This window comes from Homo sapiens, chromosome 2 (genome assembly GCF_000001405.40).
Source record: "Homo sapiens chromosome 2, GRCh38.p14 Primary Assembly".
Taxonomy (NCBI): Eukaryota; Metazoa; Chordata; class Mammalia; order Primates; family Hominidae; genus Homo; species Homo sapiens.
Window position 1 is genome coordinate 31,318,098 of NC_000002.12, and position 15,380 is coordinate 31,333,477.

The 15,380-nt window shown below is 44.0% G+C and overlaps 1 annotated feature.

Moving 5' to 3' along the window:
* Positions 689-758: a silencer, noted in NCBI's record as "silent region_11330". NCBI's record gives its function as "represses an Ori minimal core promoter by ATAC-STARR-seq in GM12878 lymphoblastoid cells {active_cell/tissue: GM12878}" and the evidence as "EXISTENCE:reporter gene assay evidence [ECO:0000049][PMID:35858748]".

A 15,380-nucleotide genomic window follows, 5' to 3' on the forward strand; every position in this document is an offset into this window, starting at 1 on the left:
TGCCAACCCACTCTTCTGCCCAGAGTTACCTGCAGCAGCAAGCCATCCTGCAGACTTCCATGGGGTAAGTGTCCACAAAAGTCACTGGAAGTCCCCATTGGTAGTCATTTAGAAGGACGCAGTGTAATCAAAGGACCATCACTGTTGTCTTGAATGGGTCGTGATTTAAAATTGCTGGTCTTTTTGGTCTTTAATGATAATTTATATTTGTTTCATCACTATCAATTTGTTTTCTATGGGTGATATGGTTCACCCTACAGTATGTAGGCAAGCAGGTTGGCATCAGTATAAACCATGGCCTACACATTCCTAATAACTAGAACTTAAGGCACGCAGCTTGCTGTTCAAATATAAATAACCTCAAAGCCAAAGCAGATGTGTGTATACGTAATCCCTTCAAAATCTGCATGAGATTGATATTTCATCATAGTAAGCGTGTTCATTTCCCACATGAAATTGTAAAGGCAGTGGCTAGGATAGTGGTGCCAGCAGAGACATTTAAGCAGCCCTGAGCCAGGCTCTGAGCAGAGCTCTTGTCATTTTTCCTTTTTTTTTTTGCTTTGGGAAGAAAAAGATATCTTCCCCTGGCACCCTAGGCCCACCTCCTTCAGGCAGAATTGCCAGTTCCTCTGGCCCCTGCCTCACCCCCTTCCAGAGTTCTCTCTACTTAACTCCACCCTCAGGCTCCACCCTTGAAGGGCACAGCCCAGCTGTACTGAGTTGAGGTTTTTCTGACCCTCAGAAATAAGCAGTTAGCAACATCCCCAGCGCCTGTCTTCTTTCTGCTCTTCCCAGGGGGCCCTTGACTCACCACCAACCCACAGGGGAAACCACAGAGCACAGCAGCCCAGCGCCGACTGCACCTCCCCGGAAAAGTTCCTGGAGGTTCAAGAATGGCTCCTCTATGTTGACTCCCTGTCTCATCTCAGGTGCCATGCTGGACTTTTATATACGGGGTCTTAACCCCCCACCACAGCACAAGCCAGCAAGGTGGGGCTTCATGCAAATGAGGCGGCTGAGGGCCAAAGCAGTGTGGTGGCCACCCCTCACCAAACTGAGCCTGTTCCCAGTAACTACTCCCTTTACCGTCCCATGCTGGAGGCCAGCGCCCAGCCAGCTCCTCTCTGTGCCTTTTTTTTTTTTTTTTTGGTTTTTATTACATCCAATCCCATTTATGTGAATGTGCACAAAAACAGCAAGATCTTGCTGGTTTGGAACTAGGACATACTTAATTTTAAAAAATATTGAGGATTATTTACACATAGTGAAATGCATAGCTCTTAAGTGAACCATTCAATGAGCTCTCGGGTGCAGCTGGACCAAGTTAACAACAAAGCAGTACACAGGGGTTTAGCTAAGAGGCCAGGATGAAGAAACTAGGAAAGGAGCCACTCACCCTCACACAGCTGTACCACCCCAAGTTCCCCTTCGCATTCCCACTGAGGGCCTGCTGACATCCTGTTTAACATGACTGTCAAAACAACTCTTGTTATGCTATCTCAGCCATGTTTATGAGAGCAAAACCACTTGGGAGTAAGCCAAATGTCCATTAAATAAACTACAGTGCCATCCATACAATAGAAAATACCATTGAGAAAGAACATTAATAGACACGGAAAGCTGCCTGTTAAAGGCACCTCATAAAACACCAGTGTTAACAGTTGTTCTGAGTGTCCGGATTATGGGCAACTATTATATTCTTCTTCTGATTTGCCAGTACTTTGTGCAACAAATGTAATAGTAAATAAATTTTATTTGTTGAAGGTGCTTGGCTCTACATTGTTACATCTGGAGGAACAGGGTGTACACAGGAAGTGTAGAAACGCTACAACAGCAATCTCCCTGACAGAACTGAGATGAGCAGCGGGGAACGCCTACATGCCCTAGGACAGGAATCTGTGGCTGGCTTTCTCTGGTTCAGAAGGTCTTACTCTGTGCAAGAGCTTGCACACATATCTCATCATTTGGAGGAAACTAACTGGTTAGCACCCCAGGCAAGGCTGGCTGTTCTCACTGCCCCTTCCATGTGGTTTACTGCCTCTATGGTTTTGTTCTTCCCACTCCCTCTTGCTGAAGAGCCCTCTGGCATGGCTCAGCAGATGTAAAGTCTATCCATACTGAGGCAGGATAATGGCCCCTCAAAGATGCCCCAATCCCTGCATCTTGTAAATATATCATGTTGCATTGCAAAAGAGGCTTGGCAGATGTAATTGAGGTTACAGAATTTAAAATAGCCAGAGTACAGCTGGGTACGGTGGCTCACGCCTGTAATCCTAGCACTTTGGGAGGCCGAGGCAGGTGGATCACTTGAGGTCAGGAGTTAGAGACCAGCCTGGACAACATGGCAAAATCCTGTCTCTACTGAAAATACAAAAATTAGCCAGGTGTGATGGTGCATGCCTATAATCCCAGCTACAGGGAGGCTGAGGCAGGAGAATTGCTTGCACCCAGGAGGCGGAGGTTGCAGTGAGCCAAGATTGTGTCACTGCACTCCAGCCTGGGTGGCAGAGCAAGACTCTGTCAAAAAAAAAAAAAAAAAAAAAAGCCAGAGTAGCCCAGATCATCCAGGTGCACCCAATCTAATCACATGAGCCCTTAAAAGCACAGAACTTTCTCCCGCTGGAGTCAGAAGAGAAGTGGCAGAACTCAACAGAAAGATTGGGAGCGTGAGAGGGACTTGACCCCCATTGCTGAAGGCTACGTGGAAAGCATGAGGAGAAGGTGGGCAGCCCCCAGCTAACAGCCAGCAAGGAAGTGAAGACCTTAGTCCTACAACTGTAAGGAACGGCCAACAATGAGCTTAGAAGCAGATTCATCCCCAGAAACTCCCAAAAGGAACACGGCCCTGCCAAAACCTTGATTTTGACCTCGTGAAACTCTAAGCAGAGGACTGAGTAGAGCCACATGTACCCACACTTCTAACCTACAGAACTGTGGAATAATAAAAATAGGTGTGATTTTAATCCATTAAATTTGTGGTCATCTGTTATGGCAGCGATAGAAAACAATACACTATCCTTCAGGATCAATGCAAATGCCACCTCTGTGAAACCTCCTCCAATTCCTCCCTCCATATACGTGAGCGTTCCCGTCTCTGAATTCTCCAAACACTCTTCCCCAGGTCTCTTCAGCCACCACCGTGGTCCACCTGGTCTTAGGGTTATTTGTGCACATGTTGTATTTCTCCTGCTAGATAGACTGCGAGCTACTTGGGGCAGTATCTGAGGCTGATTCATCTTTATTTTCCTTTTAGGGCATTGCAGAACGCTTCATACGTAGTCAGAGCTAAATTTTTGTTGGAAGGATGTCTTCCTACCAGTAGATGGATGTTTATTGTTTAATAAAATGAATCTCTATGGCAATTAGGAATTAAAATATGGACCCCGGAAATATTTGCAAATATAGAAAAAAGTAGCCAGTGATGGATACTGACAGCATAAGAAAAACTAGAATGTGCAAAAGTAGGATATCTAAATCTTTTTGATGCTTGGAATCTGACTGCTGTGGCAGTTGGTCCTAAGATGTACATTAACACAAAAAATAAATAGGATTACAAGTAGGATTCTAAAATATAACCTCTTAAAACTTCTAGCAACATGGAAGTTTAAGGAAATGAATGTTCCTCTGCTGCTTCAAATAGATAGAAATGTTGTAGAAACTGTAATATAATTTTTTAATATCCAGCTGAGCTCAAAATAAAGAAAAGGAAACTCTCAGATTCCAGAGAAGAGAAAACTCCAAGTCAGACTGTCAAGAGCAATGGCTGAGCAGTCCAGTGGGCTTGGGAACAGGACATCGGTCCTCATGGCTTGGCTTAGGGATTTAACATCCACAGGTGAAGATGAGATGTTCTCAGGCTGATGGAGGTAGAAAGCTGAACTTCTATACCAAATAGTACCTATGGCATAATAAGAAACTTCTATTTGGTCTTCATCCCTGGTTCCTGATAGAGAATTCCTAAATTGCTTGGAACTTGCTAGGTGATAGGAGTATCTTTTGTTCCAATGAGGTTACTTTTGGTGGGCTTCTAGACAGCTTCAGAATGGCGACTGGTTACCAAAAGGACCAAGCCTTGATACGAAGCCTAGAATTTTTAGCATCACTCTACCCTCCCACACCACCCCATCCTCCCCAGGAGGGAAGAGGGGCTGGAGATTGAGTTAATAATAGAGTGTGCCTATGTGATCCAACCTCCATAAAAAACCTCTAAACGATGGGGTTCAGGGAGCTTCCGGGTTGAACACATCCATGTGCCAGGAGATGGGGGCACCTCAACTCCATAGAACAGAAGCTCCTGCACTTAGGACCCTTCAGACCTTTTCCTATGTTCCCTATATGCCTGGAACTCATCTGGTTGCTCATTTGCATCCTTTATAATAAGCTGGTCAATGTAAGTAAAGTGCATTCCTGAGTTCTGTGAGCTGTCCTGGCAAACTATCAAACATGAGGAGAGAGGCATGGGAACCCCTATTTATAGCCAGTTGGCCAGAAGTACAGGAGGCCTGGCACTGAAGCAGGGGCAGTCTTATGAGACTGAGCCATTAGGCTGTGAGGTCTGTGATAACTCCAGGTAGTTAGTGTCAGAATTGATCTGAACTGTTGGACACTCTGGTGTCCAGAGAATCAGAGAATCGGTTGTAGTGTTGGAAAGCACCCTATGTAGAGTACCCATGAAGAGGGGAGAGAAAAAACTATTCATTAGCCTGTGGAAGCAGCAAGAAAGCATTGTATCTACTCAGAGTTCTTGGGAAGAAAAGAAAACAAAAAGTTTATATGAAAAATCAAAATTCCAGGTGTGGGGTCTATATTTACCCAGCACACATGGTAGAAGCTCACCTTTGAACTGATAAAAAGGCAATAAAAGCACAGAAGACACATGTGCTCTATAGGGAATCGTTCCCCAACCCACAGAGCACAAGTTCACCACAGGAAACGGAACACTCATTGAGAATAAGCTTATAATGAAAAAAAAATGATCTATGTGAATAAATATTCCACATTGAAGGAAAGAATTAGACTATGAGAACTTGTAAAATCTGTTAAAAATAAATTGTACTTAAAATGTTAGAAAACACTTCTGTGAAGTTCTTACTACATGGTAAGCATTGTTCTAAGCATTTTACTTGTTTTAAAGAGATGAAAGAAGGAGTAGAACACAATGATAAAATACAATAAATGGAAAAGGAAATAGTGTCGATCATCACATACGAAGCACTACCAAAATTCCCCATGCACTGGCACTTGGTAGAGCTACATGACTTGTTCTGGCCAGTGGTCTGTGGCAGGTGGTGCTGCGTGTTAATTCCAATATTGGCCATAGGATAGCTAATGTGACATCCTCCAGATGTCCGTTTCCCTGTTGCAGACACCCAGTAAGCCTCATATTCCAGGTAGTGCAACTGCTAGATGATGGAGCCTCTTTCGTCCTTGGTCTCTGAGTGACCGTGTAGAACAGACCCCACCAAAATCCACTGGGTACAAAGGAGTGAGAAATAAACTATTGCTGTATTCAATCATGGAGATTGGGAAATTTGGGATTATTTTCTTTCTGTAGCATAACCTAGTCTGTACTAACTCAAGTGAATGTGAAAAAAAATCAGAATGTATGAAAATAAAAGTAAAGAAACTAAGACTAAAAACTCGATTTACTTAAACATGAAAATAGACAGAGTTGAAGAGATCATTAAATAATTGAAATGTAGACCTAGGAAATTACCCAGAAAGCACCACAGAGATAGAGATGAGAAATATGAGGCCTAAAGATACATGGAGGATAGAATTAGAAGTTTCAGTACAAATCTATTTAGAAGTTAAGGAAAGAAAGGATAGAGAGAATGGAGGAGAAATAATGTTGCAATAAATAAGGGCTTAGAATTTTCCAGACTTGAAAACAAGTTCTCAGGATAAAGAAGCATGGTGAATTCCAAGAATAATAGGTAAAAAGTTAATCCATGCCTAGACAACAGAACACCTTAAAATAGAATACTTTAACAGAAGAAAAACAGCCAGAGAAGAGATAGTGCCTGCAAAAGAAAGACAATTACGCTGGCATCAGAAAAATACATTCCAAGGGTTTGGGAAATATAACTACTCAGCTAAATCAATAGCAGCTAATTCAGCAAAATCATCATTTATGAATGAGGGCAAAATAAAGCCTTTTTTTTTTTTAACAAAAAGAGACAGAGCTTGCCATTCACAAACTCTGGCTGAAAAACTATGAAAGCGTGTGTTTCTAAAAGAAGGAAATTGAAGCCAGAAGGAGGGAGTGGAATAAGAAAGCAATAACGAGAAAAACAAAGGTAAGCGTATGAGTAAAACTAAATATTTGCCTGTACAAGAATAACAACAATGACTAATCAGAGTGTTAAAGTGAAACTGAAACACTTGATTATAGCCACACGGAGGAAGAGAGGGGAAAATCAATTAATGCATTCTAAGCTTCTCATCCTGTTTGGTGACAACATAGAAATATTAATTAAACATAGGCTTTGCTGAATCAAGTGTGCATGCTAAAAATACAGAGATGACTTCTAAAAGAATAGAAATAGGATGTAGAAGCACGAAACTCATATAAAGAATGAGGTGGGGAGAATGGTGGGGCAGGGGAAGGGTCGGGGGACAGGGATGCTTGATTAAGCCAACAGCAGACAATGAGAAAAAGAGAAAGAACATGGTCAGTAGTGACACACCAAATGAGATGATAGAAATGTCAAAATAGGCTATTAATCACAATTAATGTAAACACATTGTTTTGCCAGTTAAAAGAGAAATATCCTTAGATTGCATTTAAACACACACGTCCATCATGCATGCTATTCATAAGAGGCCAAACCATACACAAACTATGTGTATTATTTATTAGAGACTCAATAAAACGTGACACGAACAGTTGAAAATAAAGAAATGGGGAAGGTATGCTCCAAAATTCCAGTGTGGGCTATGTGCCTTAGAGGAAAGCTCTCATGCATTGCAGAAGGAGGCATGTTCAAAATTGTTCGCTACATTGAAAAGGGAAGATGATAAACAGCATAAACATCCAATGGTATGGGGATAAAAAAATTAATGTTGGCATGTAATAAAGCACCATGTAATGGATAAATGGCTAAACCAGATCAAATGGGCCCAGATGAATAAATATTAGAAGCATAACATTGAGTAGAAACAAGGAATTGCAGAAGGCTATCACAATATGATATCATGAATGTAGATCTTTTCCAAAGGAAACTTTTTATTGAAGAATGATATATATACATACATACTTACCTAAAATGTACAAATCATAATGAACAGTTCAATGAATTATTGAAAAGTGACCTGGCCTGGTAACCTGCACTCACATAAATAGAACATGACCAAGCCCTCCCAGAGGCTCTCCCCGAGTACTACATACCTCCAAAGGTAACCACGATCAAACTTCTAACCCTAGAGGTTGGTTTTGCCTGTTTTTGAAATGTATATATATGTGATCATACAGTGTGAACTCTTTGCGTCTGGGTTTTTGTTTTTGTTTTGAGATGGATCTCCCTCTGTCACCCAGGCCCAGGCTGGAGTGAAGTGGCATGACCATGGCTCACTGCAGCCTCTACGTCCCGGGCTCAAGCAATCCTCCCACTTCAGCCTCCCAAATAATTGTGACCTCAAGTGGGTGACACCATGCCTGGCTAATTAAAACAAATTTTTTTTTTTTCAGCTGGGCATGGTGGCTCACGCCTGTAATCCCAGCACCTTAGGAGGCCAAGGCCAGGAGTTCAAGACCAGCCTGGCAACATGGCAAAACTCTGTCTCTACTAAAAATACAATAATTAGCCAGGCTTGGTGGCACATGGCTGTAATTCCAGCTACTGGGGAGGCTGAGGCATGAGAATTGCTTGAACCCAGGAGGCAGAGGTTGCAGTTAGCTGAGATCATGCCATTGCACTCCAGCCTGGGCAATAGAGGGAGACCCTCTCTCAAAAATAATAATAATAAAAATATAAAAATAATTCTATTTCTAGAAATGGGGTCTCGCCCTGTCGCCCAGGTGGGTCTCAAACTCCTGGGCTTAAGCAATCCTCTTGCCTCAGCCTCCCAAAGTGCTGGGACTGCAGGTGCAAGCCACCATGTCCAGCTGTGTCTGGCTTCTTTAATTCCATATTATGTTTGTGAGATGCATCCTAATGGAAGTATGAAGCTGGATTTTATTTATTTTCTTTGGTATGCTGGTATTCTATTGTATGGATATGCTGCAATTAATTTATGAACTCTGTTGGGGATCTACATTTGGGAATTTTGGGGGACTATTACAAGCAGTGCTTCTATGATCGGTCTTGGACTTTTCTTCTGGTTCATATGTGCAAGCATTTCGCTTGGGTATATGCTCAGCAATTGCTGGGTCAGAGGGTATGCATACTTTCAGCTTTAGTAGAGACTCATAAACAGTTCTCCAAATTGGGTGTACCATTTTACTACCTTAGCAGTGTGTGAGAGTTCCAGTTCCTTCACCTCTTATTCACACTTGATATTTTTAGTCTTTTTAATGTTAGTCATTGTGGTGGTTAATGGGTGTGAATTTTAAAACACATACGCTGTGCACTGCTTAGGATATGTTCACATGCATTAAAATATAAAAACATGGATGGGAATGTTTTACATCAACCTTAGGATGGTAATTACCTCAAGGCAGAGGGCAAAATCTCAGAGTGGGGTGATAAAATGGGAAGCTTCAACTGTACTTGTAACATTAATCTTTTACCATGGGAAACAAATATGGGCAAACAAACATTTTTTTAGAACCAGGTGGGAAGTATATATGTGTATTTTATCGTTCTCTATATTACTTATGTTTGGTTCATACTGTAATTTTCTTTTTATTTAAGAAAAATGTTTTTAAAGGCAAAAATAGACCCTCCACAAGGAAGAAGCAAATTCACAAATGTACCTGGTTGTAAACACATTTGAAACATGACTAACAAACCAGATAGTCCACTCCTGGGTATAATTTCCCCAATACATAGAACGATGTTAAGGAACTATAGTTCAAACAAAACACATAATTATGTGCTCTGATAAGGGATTAGAAGCAAATATCAAAGTTAAATATCATCATTTATGATTCTTTTGCAGGGAGGGTAATTCACTATGCTGGAATGGATACCGTATGAGTGTCCATTTACAAATAAGAATTTCTTGGTACGTTCTTGCGCTAGAAAATTTCTATTTTGTAGAGAGATTGCTATCGCACACTTACTACAAAGGACCGACGTTATCGTAATGAAACAACTAAATCAGTAGAAAGAATAGCTAAGGAGACTTGGCTTTTAATTCTGCCACAGCCACCTCCAGAATCCTCCGTTGCCTCCTCCCCACCATCCAGGTGGTAGGCTAGACTCAGCTTTCTCCACCTCAGTTCTACTGACATTTTGGGCTGAATAATTCTTTGTTGCAGTGGGCTGCCCTGTGCAATATAAGATGTTTAGCGGCATCCCTGCACTCTACCTGCCTGATTCCAGGAGCCACCACCCCTCCCTGAGTTGCAGCAACCAAAGAGATTTCCAGACATTGCCTAATGTTCCCTAAAGGTAAAATCACCCCCAGTTGAGGACCACTGGGGATTGTCCCTTCCAACTCTAAAATGTTATGCAATCCTTTGAGCAATACACATAGTTTTCTCAGAGCTTAGGTAAACAAAGTATGAAGAGCCAACAATGGCCAGGCAGACAGCTCAGGTCATGTGTGTGGCTACTCAATTGCTATCTCAAGAAAAGAGGAGCATTTGATGGAGCAATAGAGGAAACTGATAATGCTTTGACCAGGGATGTTATCTACTGTGAGAATGGGGCAAGTGGCTATGGAAAATGATTGAGGCTCCGGAGAAATTGAACGTATTGTCAAGATCAACCAAGCACACACACTTTACCTCACTACACTGGGTCTCAGCTCCCAATAGATTGGGAATTCCCAGCCACATATTACATTATAGCAGAGTGAGGATTCCCAGCCATACAATACCCAGAGAGTAGGGAGGGAAGAATGTGATTTGTTAGTAAGTTATGCAAGTAGAAAATGGTATATATCCTGTCATAGGGTGGTTCCCAAGAAGCAAAGCCTTAAAAGATGGTATAAACTCCCAGATGAGGGGACTTCTGTTTTAGCTGAGGGCAATTCTCAAGATAATAGGCAGATGTGTACTGTCAGCTGCCAACATTTAGAGGAACTAGTAACTCCCAGCCAAGGAAAAGGATTTGCAATAGTGTCTACTACAAGTGTATAGCATAAACATGTTTGGACACTAAATTTACAAAATTGTTGTACATAGGCTTGGAGAATCTTGGAACAGCAAGGTATTGACATTTATTAAGCACCTAACAACAGGTGTCAGATGCTGTGCTGAGTGTCTTTGTTTTCTTTTATTTTCTTTCTTCCTTTTGAGACAGTCGCTCTCTGTTACCTAGGCTGAAGTGCAGTGGTCTGATTTGAGGTGCACTGCAGCCTCAAACACCTGGGCTCAAGAAATCCTCCCGCCTCAGCATCCCAAGGAGCTAGGACTACAGGTGCACACCACCGAACACGGCTAATTAAAAATTTTTTTAGAGACGAGGTCTCACTATGTTGCCCAGGCTGTGCTGGGTGCCTTTCATTGACTATGTCATTTAACTTCACCACACTGACAACAGGTCTTATTCTCCTCCACTTACAAATGAGGAAACTGAGGCTCAGAGGGTGAGTAATGTTCCCAAGAGAAGAGAACTTATGAAAATACTGGAGCTGAGTAGAGCGTTTGCTGGCAGCCCTTGCTCTTTACACTTGAGCCCCTAGCTTAGCCCAGCATCTGGCCTTTTAAAAGGAACACATGGCATATATAGTTGAGGAAGGAGAAAACCTGATTTTGGGACTTAGGAACATGCATACCGAGTGCCTTGCAAGCCAATCTCCTCATCAGCTGAAGGCCACAAATTACCAACAACTTTACTACAGCCACATCTCCCAGAGGCACAGCACTCCTGGCCCCCAGCAGTGGGGATGGAGAATGGGGGGTGTTTCCAGATTAAAGTAGTGCATAGGAGAGCCCAGAGCTCCACACTACTACAGAACCACCACGGGACCATTGTCACCAATCCACAAAGGCCTATAAAGTACACAGGGTCCTGGCAGGAAGCCCTTGGCCCACTCCAAGAAGACAAAGAATACTTTCACTTGATAAGACTGATGGCTCTCAGGAGGATGGAGAAAGGGTCCAAGACCCCATACATTCTGCCATACATTCTGTACCCTGGGAAAGGCTTATCATTAAGCAACAATCAGGACTCCCTGGGGTGTGGAGGAAATGACCTTTGGGCCATTATCAACAATGCCTCCCAACCCCCTCGCCTTCTGGAGCTGCCTCCCACTCTGAAGTGACTGTTCTGGGTTTGGAAAGAGAAGCAGGGAGTCTGATTCCTAAGGCAGGTGCTTTTCTACTGACAATGAGCCAGGCATGTCCTTTCCCCTGGATTCTGAGACCAAGATGGAGGGATGGAAGAGAGTGAACAGGTAGAGAGATGGTTGTGATGGGTGTGTGAGTGTGTGTGTGTTCTCTCCAGGGCTAGAAGCCAACTGAAGTGTGTAATGCAAAAAATTAAGAGCCAGCACCACCCCATTGAAAGAGCTCAAGCTTTGGCATCTGGAGTCTTAGGTTAAAGTCATTGCTGTCAGAAAGAAAATCCAAATGGAGATGGTTATGTCAGAAGTATCAAAAAAGCCAGGAAGGCATGAGGAGTTGGACCCCAGTCACGTACACACCCAGATGGAATCTGATCTATTAAACTGGGCCAAATTGTAAAACCAGCTGCATTTGATCTCAGCTGTTTCTATTGGACCTGATCATTAACCTCCTGGAGAAACAGCTATGCCAAACTGGATTGATCATCAGACACATCCTAAGCTGTGACCAGCCATCATCAATTAAAGACTCTGCTAGAACCTTCCAGATAGGTAAACTTACAGTAAACCTTTATAAGCCCCTACCCAACCTCACCTGGATGGGACACAATTTAGCTGCTTGCTCATTACAATTCCCAAGACCCCAGTTAAAACATCTTCTCTTTTGTTTGCGGCTGTGCAGTGTTGGTTTTCTTATTAGTTAACACTCCTCAGGTGTACTCTCGCTGTATAAGAGTAGAAGCTTCCTTGCCAGGCACTAGGTTTTGTGCTTTCCCTGCATTTTTGGATGCCATCCTCTCCACAACCCCATGAAAGTACCACCATGATCTCATTCACAGACAAGGAAGTAGAAATGTAAAGATTTCAGCAATTTGCCCGAGATCACACAGCAGCTAAGTGGGAGACAAAGACTGAAACACATCAGTTGATTTCACAGGTAGTGCTCTTGTCTGCACCATCATCTTCTCCCCGAGCCTCAGTTTCTTTGTTTGTAAAGTGGGTATGATTGTAATACACACCTCATAGGTTTATCGCAAGAGTTACAGAAAGCATTGCAACGGGGAGTGCCTTTCAAATTGCTATACAAATGCCAGTTGTTGTCATTGTCAGACAAAACTAAACAGCAAGAATAACAGAAGAGAGTGACTTCTGCACTTCTGATAAAGGCTTGTGAAGATAGCCAGGTGAGGCTGACGAGCTCTTCATTCCATCTCACCTGTGCCACTTAGTCAGCTATAGGGAGCTGAGAGCCGGCCCTCCTACCCAGCCCAACGTGCTGGGAAAATCACATTCACGTGAGAAGCTGAGACATGCTAATCAATCATTTGTGCCAAAAGGAGCAGGTGAGCTTCTCTTACCTGGCCTAAGATCACAGCTAATCCATGTACCCATCACCCTACACCTCATTATGGTCGAGATGCATTCCTGCATCTTCCCTTCCATCCAAGTTTTGGAAAGCTTACTCATGATTTCCCGGTGCTCTTCCCCTTTTAAGGCATGGTCAAAGGCCTGCAAATGACAACAACTCTGTACTCCAAAAAGTGCTTTTAACCCCACTGATTCTTTCAATCTTCACAACAGCCCAGTGAGGTGGATATGATTATCCACACCTATTTTACAGATGAACAGATTGAGGTCAGAGGAGCTAAGCAACCTGCCCAAGAGGGAAGAGGGAAGCAGAGGAGAAGCAGAGGAGCTTGAGCACTCCACACGTGCTTTTATGCTCAGCTCCTAACACCCAAGAGTGGGCAGAGGCATGCTGTGTGTCACCACCCTGGGGCGGGTGCTCAGTCTAGCCTCGGTGGGAAGCAAGGAAAGGTAGTGAGTGTCCCACAAGAACGTCAGCCACCACGAGGACCCCTGGGAATACTCCATCTAGTGAGAGGAAGAACAGAGAGCACATGCATGGACCAGAACGACTTTGTTGTCAGCCCACAGATAAGGGCAATTGGCTGAACAGGGGATCAAATCTGCCAGGATGTGATGGAGACGGAAAGATAGGAGGAGGGGAGCAAATGACATGCCACTCAGACTCTATGCTCCCAGGGCTGATGCACGGGCTCATCAGTGCAATGTTTGCAGCCTGTGTATCCATTCCTAAGCTCCCTCCCACTAACACTCAGGGCTCAAAGAAAAGGGTCTCACTCTTGGGCTCACCTTCTTCCCTACTGAAAGGTGTGGGGAGAGGGGGAAATTTAAACTGGAACAAAGGATCCAGGGCAAGGATGTGTGGGCACTCCTCATGGGCCACACTGGAACAAGCCAGCCCGAGGCTATTTTGATCCTGGGGCATCAGATGGTCCCGTTGTTTGTTGGGGTTCCATGACACCCTTCAGGAAGTCCTCCTGGGTGGTGGATCCCTCCAGTGTGGCCACACTGGTATCCTTGCCCTGTGGCTCTCATCCCCTTCCTCTCACTACCTTAATGCCTCAGTCTAATCCAACCACAGCTTCCCAAGCAGATCTCATTTACCACGAGACCCCCCTTTTCTCACACACACATGCACACACACACTCTCTCCTGTTTGGCAGGGAGAATGCATGGTTTGCTACCTCCAAAGGAAACCTCTCTTCCCAATCTCTCAAATTCTGTACTTCAATCTTTTAAACTCTTGAGGTAGATGAGGAGTTAATGGTGGCAAAATTAGTTTCCAGCCATCTCTCCGCAAGTCTTGCACAGATGATTTAGATTCAGCATCTCTCTTTGAAATGAGGGGATGTTTTTGCACTCATTGTTTTGTTTCCCATCTGTGGGGCTGCGGAAAGAATCCCATTTTAGCATCCTGTGACAGGAGCACAGGCAGATAGGCATATATAGGCATACAGGCATATTACCCTCCTCACCAGTGTTTATCTTGGGCCTCAAGCTTGCTCTGTCTTCTTCCCATTCAGTGTAACTAGATTTCTGTCATATACCCCAGCTCCCTGACCCACAGGTTTCCTAATAGAAGGCTCAGTTGACTAGTGGTGTATGGTTAAGTTTTAAAAAGCCTGGACCAGGAACCAGGCAGCCTTGCTGTCAGTCTGACTGTGCTACTAAAGGGCCGTAGGACCCTGAGCGAGTCAGTTTCTCTCTGTGGGCTTATGTTTCTCCTCTCTAAAATAGAGAGATTGAACTTGATGGTCTTTCCAGTTCTGGGATGCTGAGGTGGCCTGGGGGGTTGTGCAAGCCAGAGCAGGACAGTTCAAGGACAGAGATGACGCCAGAATCCCTTTGGGCAGTGCCTGACATTTCCACTTCCATCAATAGGTTGATTTGTTTCAGGTGACAAGATTGTCACAGGATCTGTCTCCTGCCTTAGGAACACGTACTCCCCCAGTTCAGGATAGAAACAAAACAAAAGGGCAGGCTCCTGGGCCTGGGGGGCACCAGGGTGACCTCATGTTTAAGGAAGCTGTATGTCAGGAATCATCTTGTCCCACGATCCAAAATAGGCAGCAAATGGACAGGTTTCCAGGCTCCCCCTCCGCAAAAGATAAAAATACCATGGGTTCGGGGATGTTCTCAGTCATAAATCAATCAGCTAAGACTATTTCTGTCCTTATCCCTTGCCCAGAGTTCCTCCTACAACCTCTGTCCTGCCCTCCTGTCCCAGCCTCCCAGCCACCTAGCTCTGGAGTAAGGGGAGTCTCATCAGCTGCCCTGATGACAACTCAGTACCCTGGCCGTGCCAGCAAGAGAATCCTCAGCCTGCCTATAAATGAAACGGTGGGCATCCTGGTGCCTCCATCCACCTCCGTGAGCCTGGCTAGCAACTGTCCACTCTGACAGGCAGGTGACTCCCAATACACACCAGGTTTCCTGGCCTGTAAGGGAGCTGCCCGCTGGTTGTGGTGGGCACTTAGGAGTAAATGTCTCTGAGTAAGCCCTCAGCATGGTCAGGGGTAGGGCTTCTCCTTCATGTGGTTATAGGGGTTAAAGGACCTACCTCGTAAAACCACTGGGAGGATTAAATGAGACCCTGTAGGTAAAGCATTCACCTT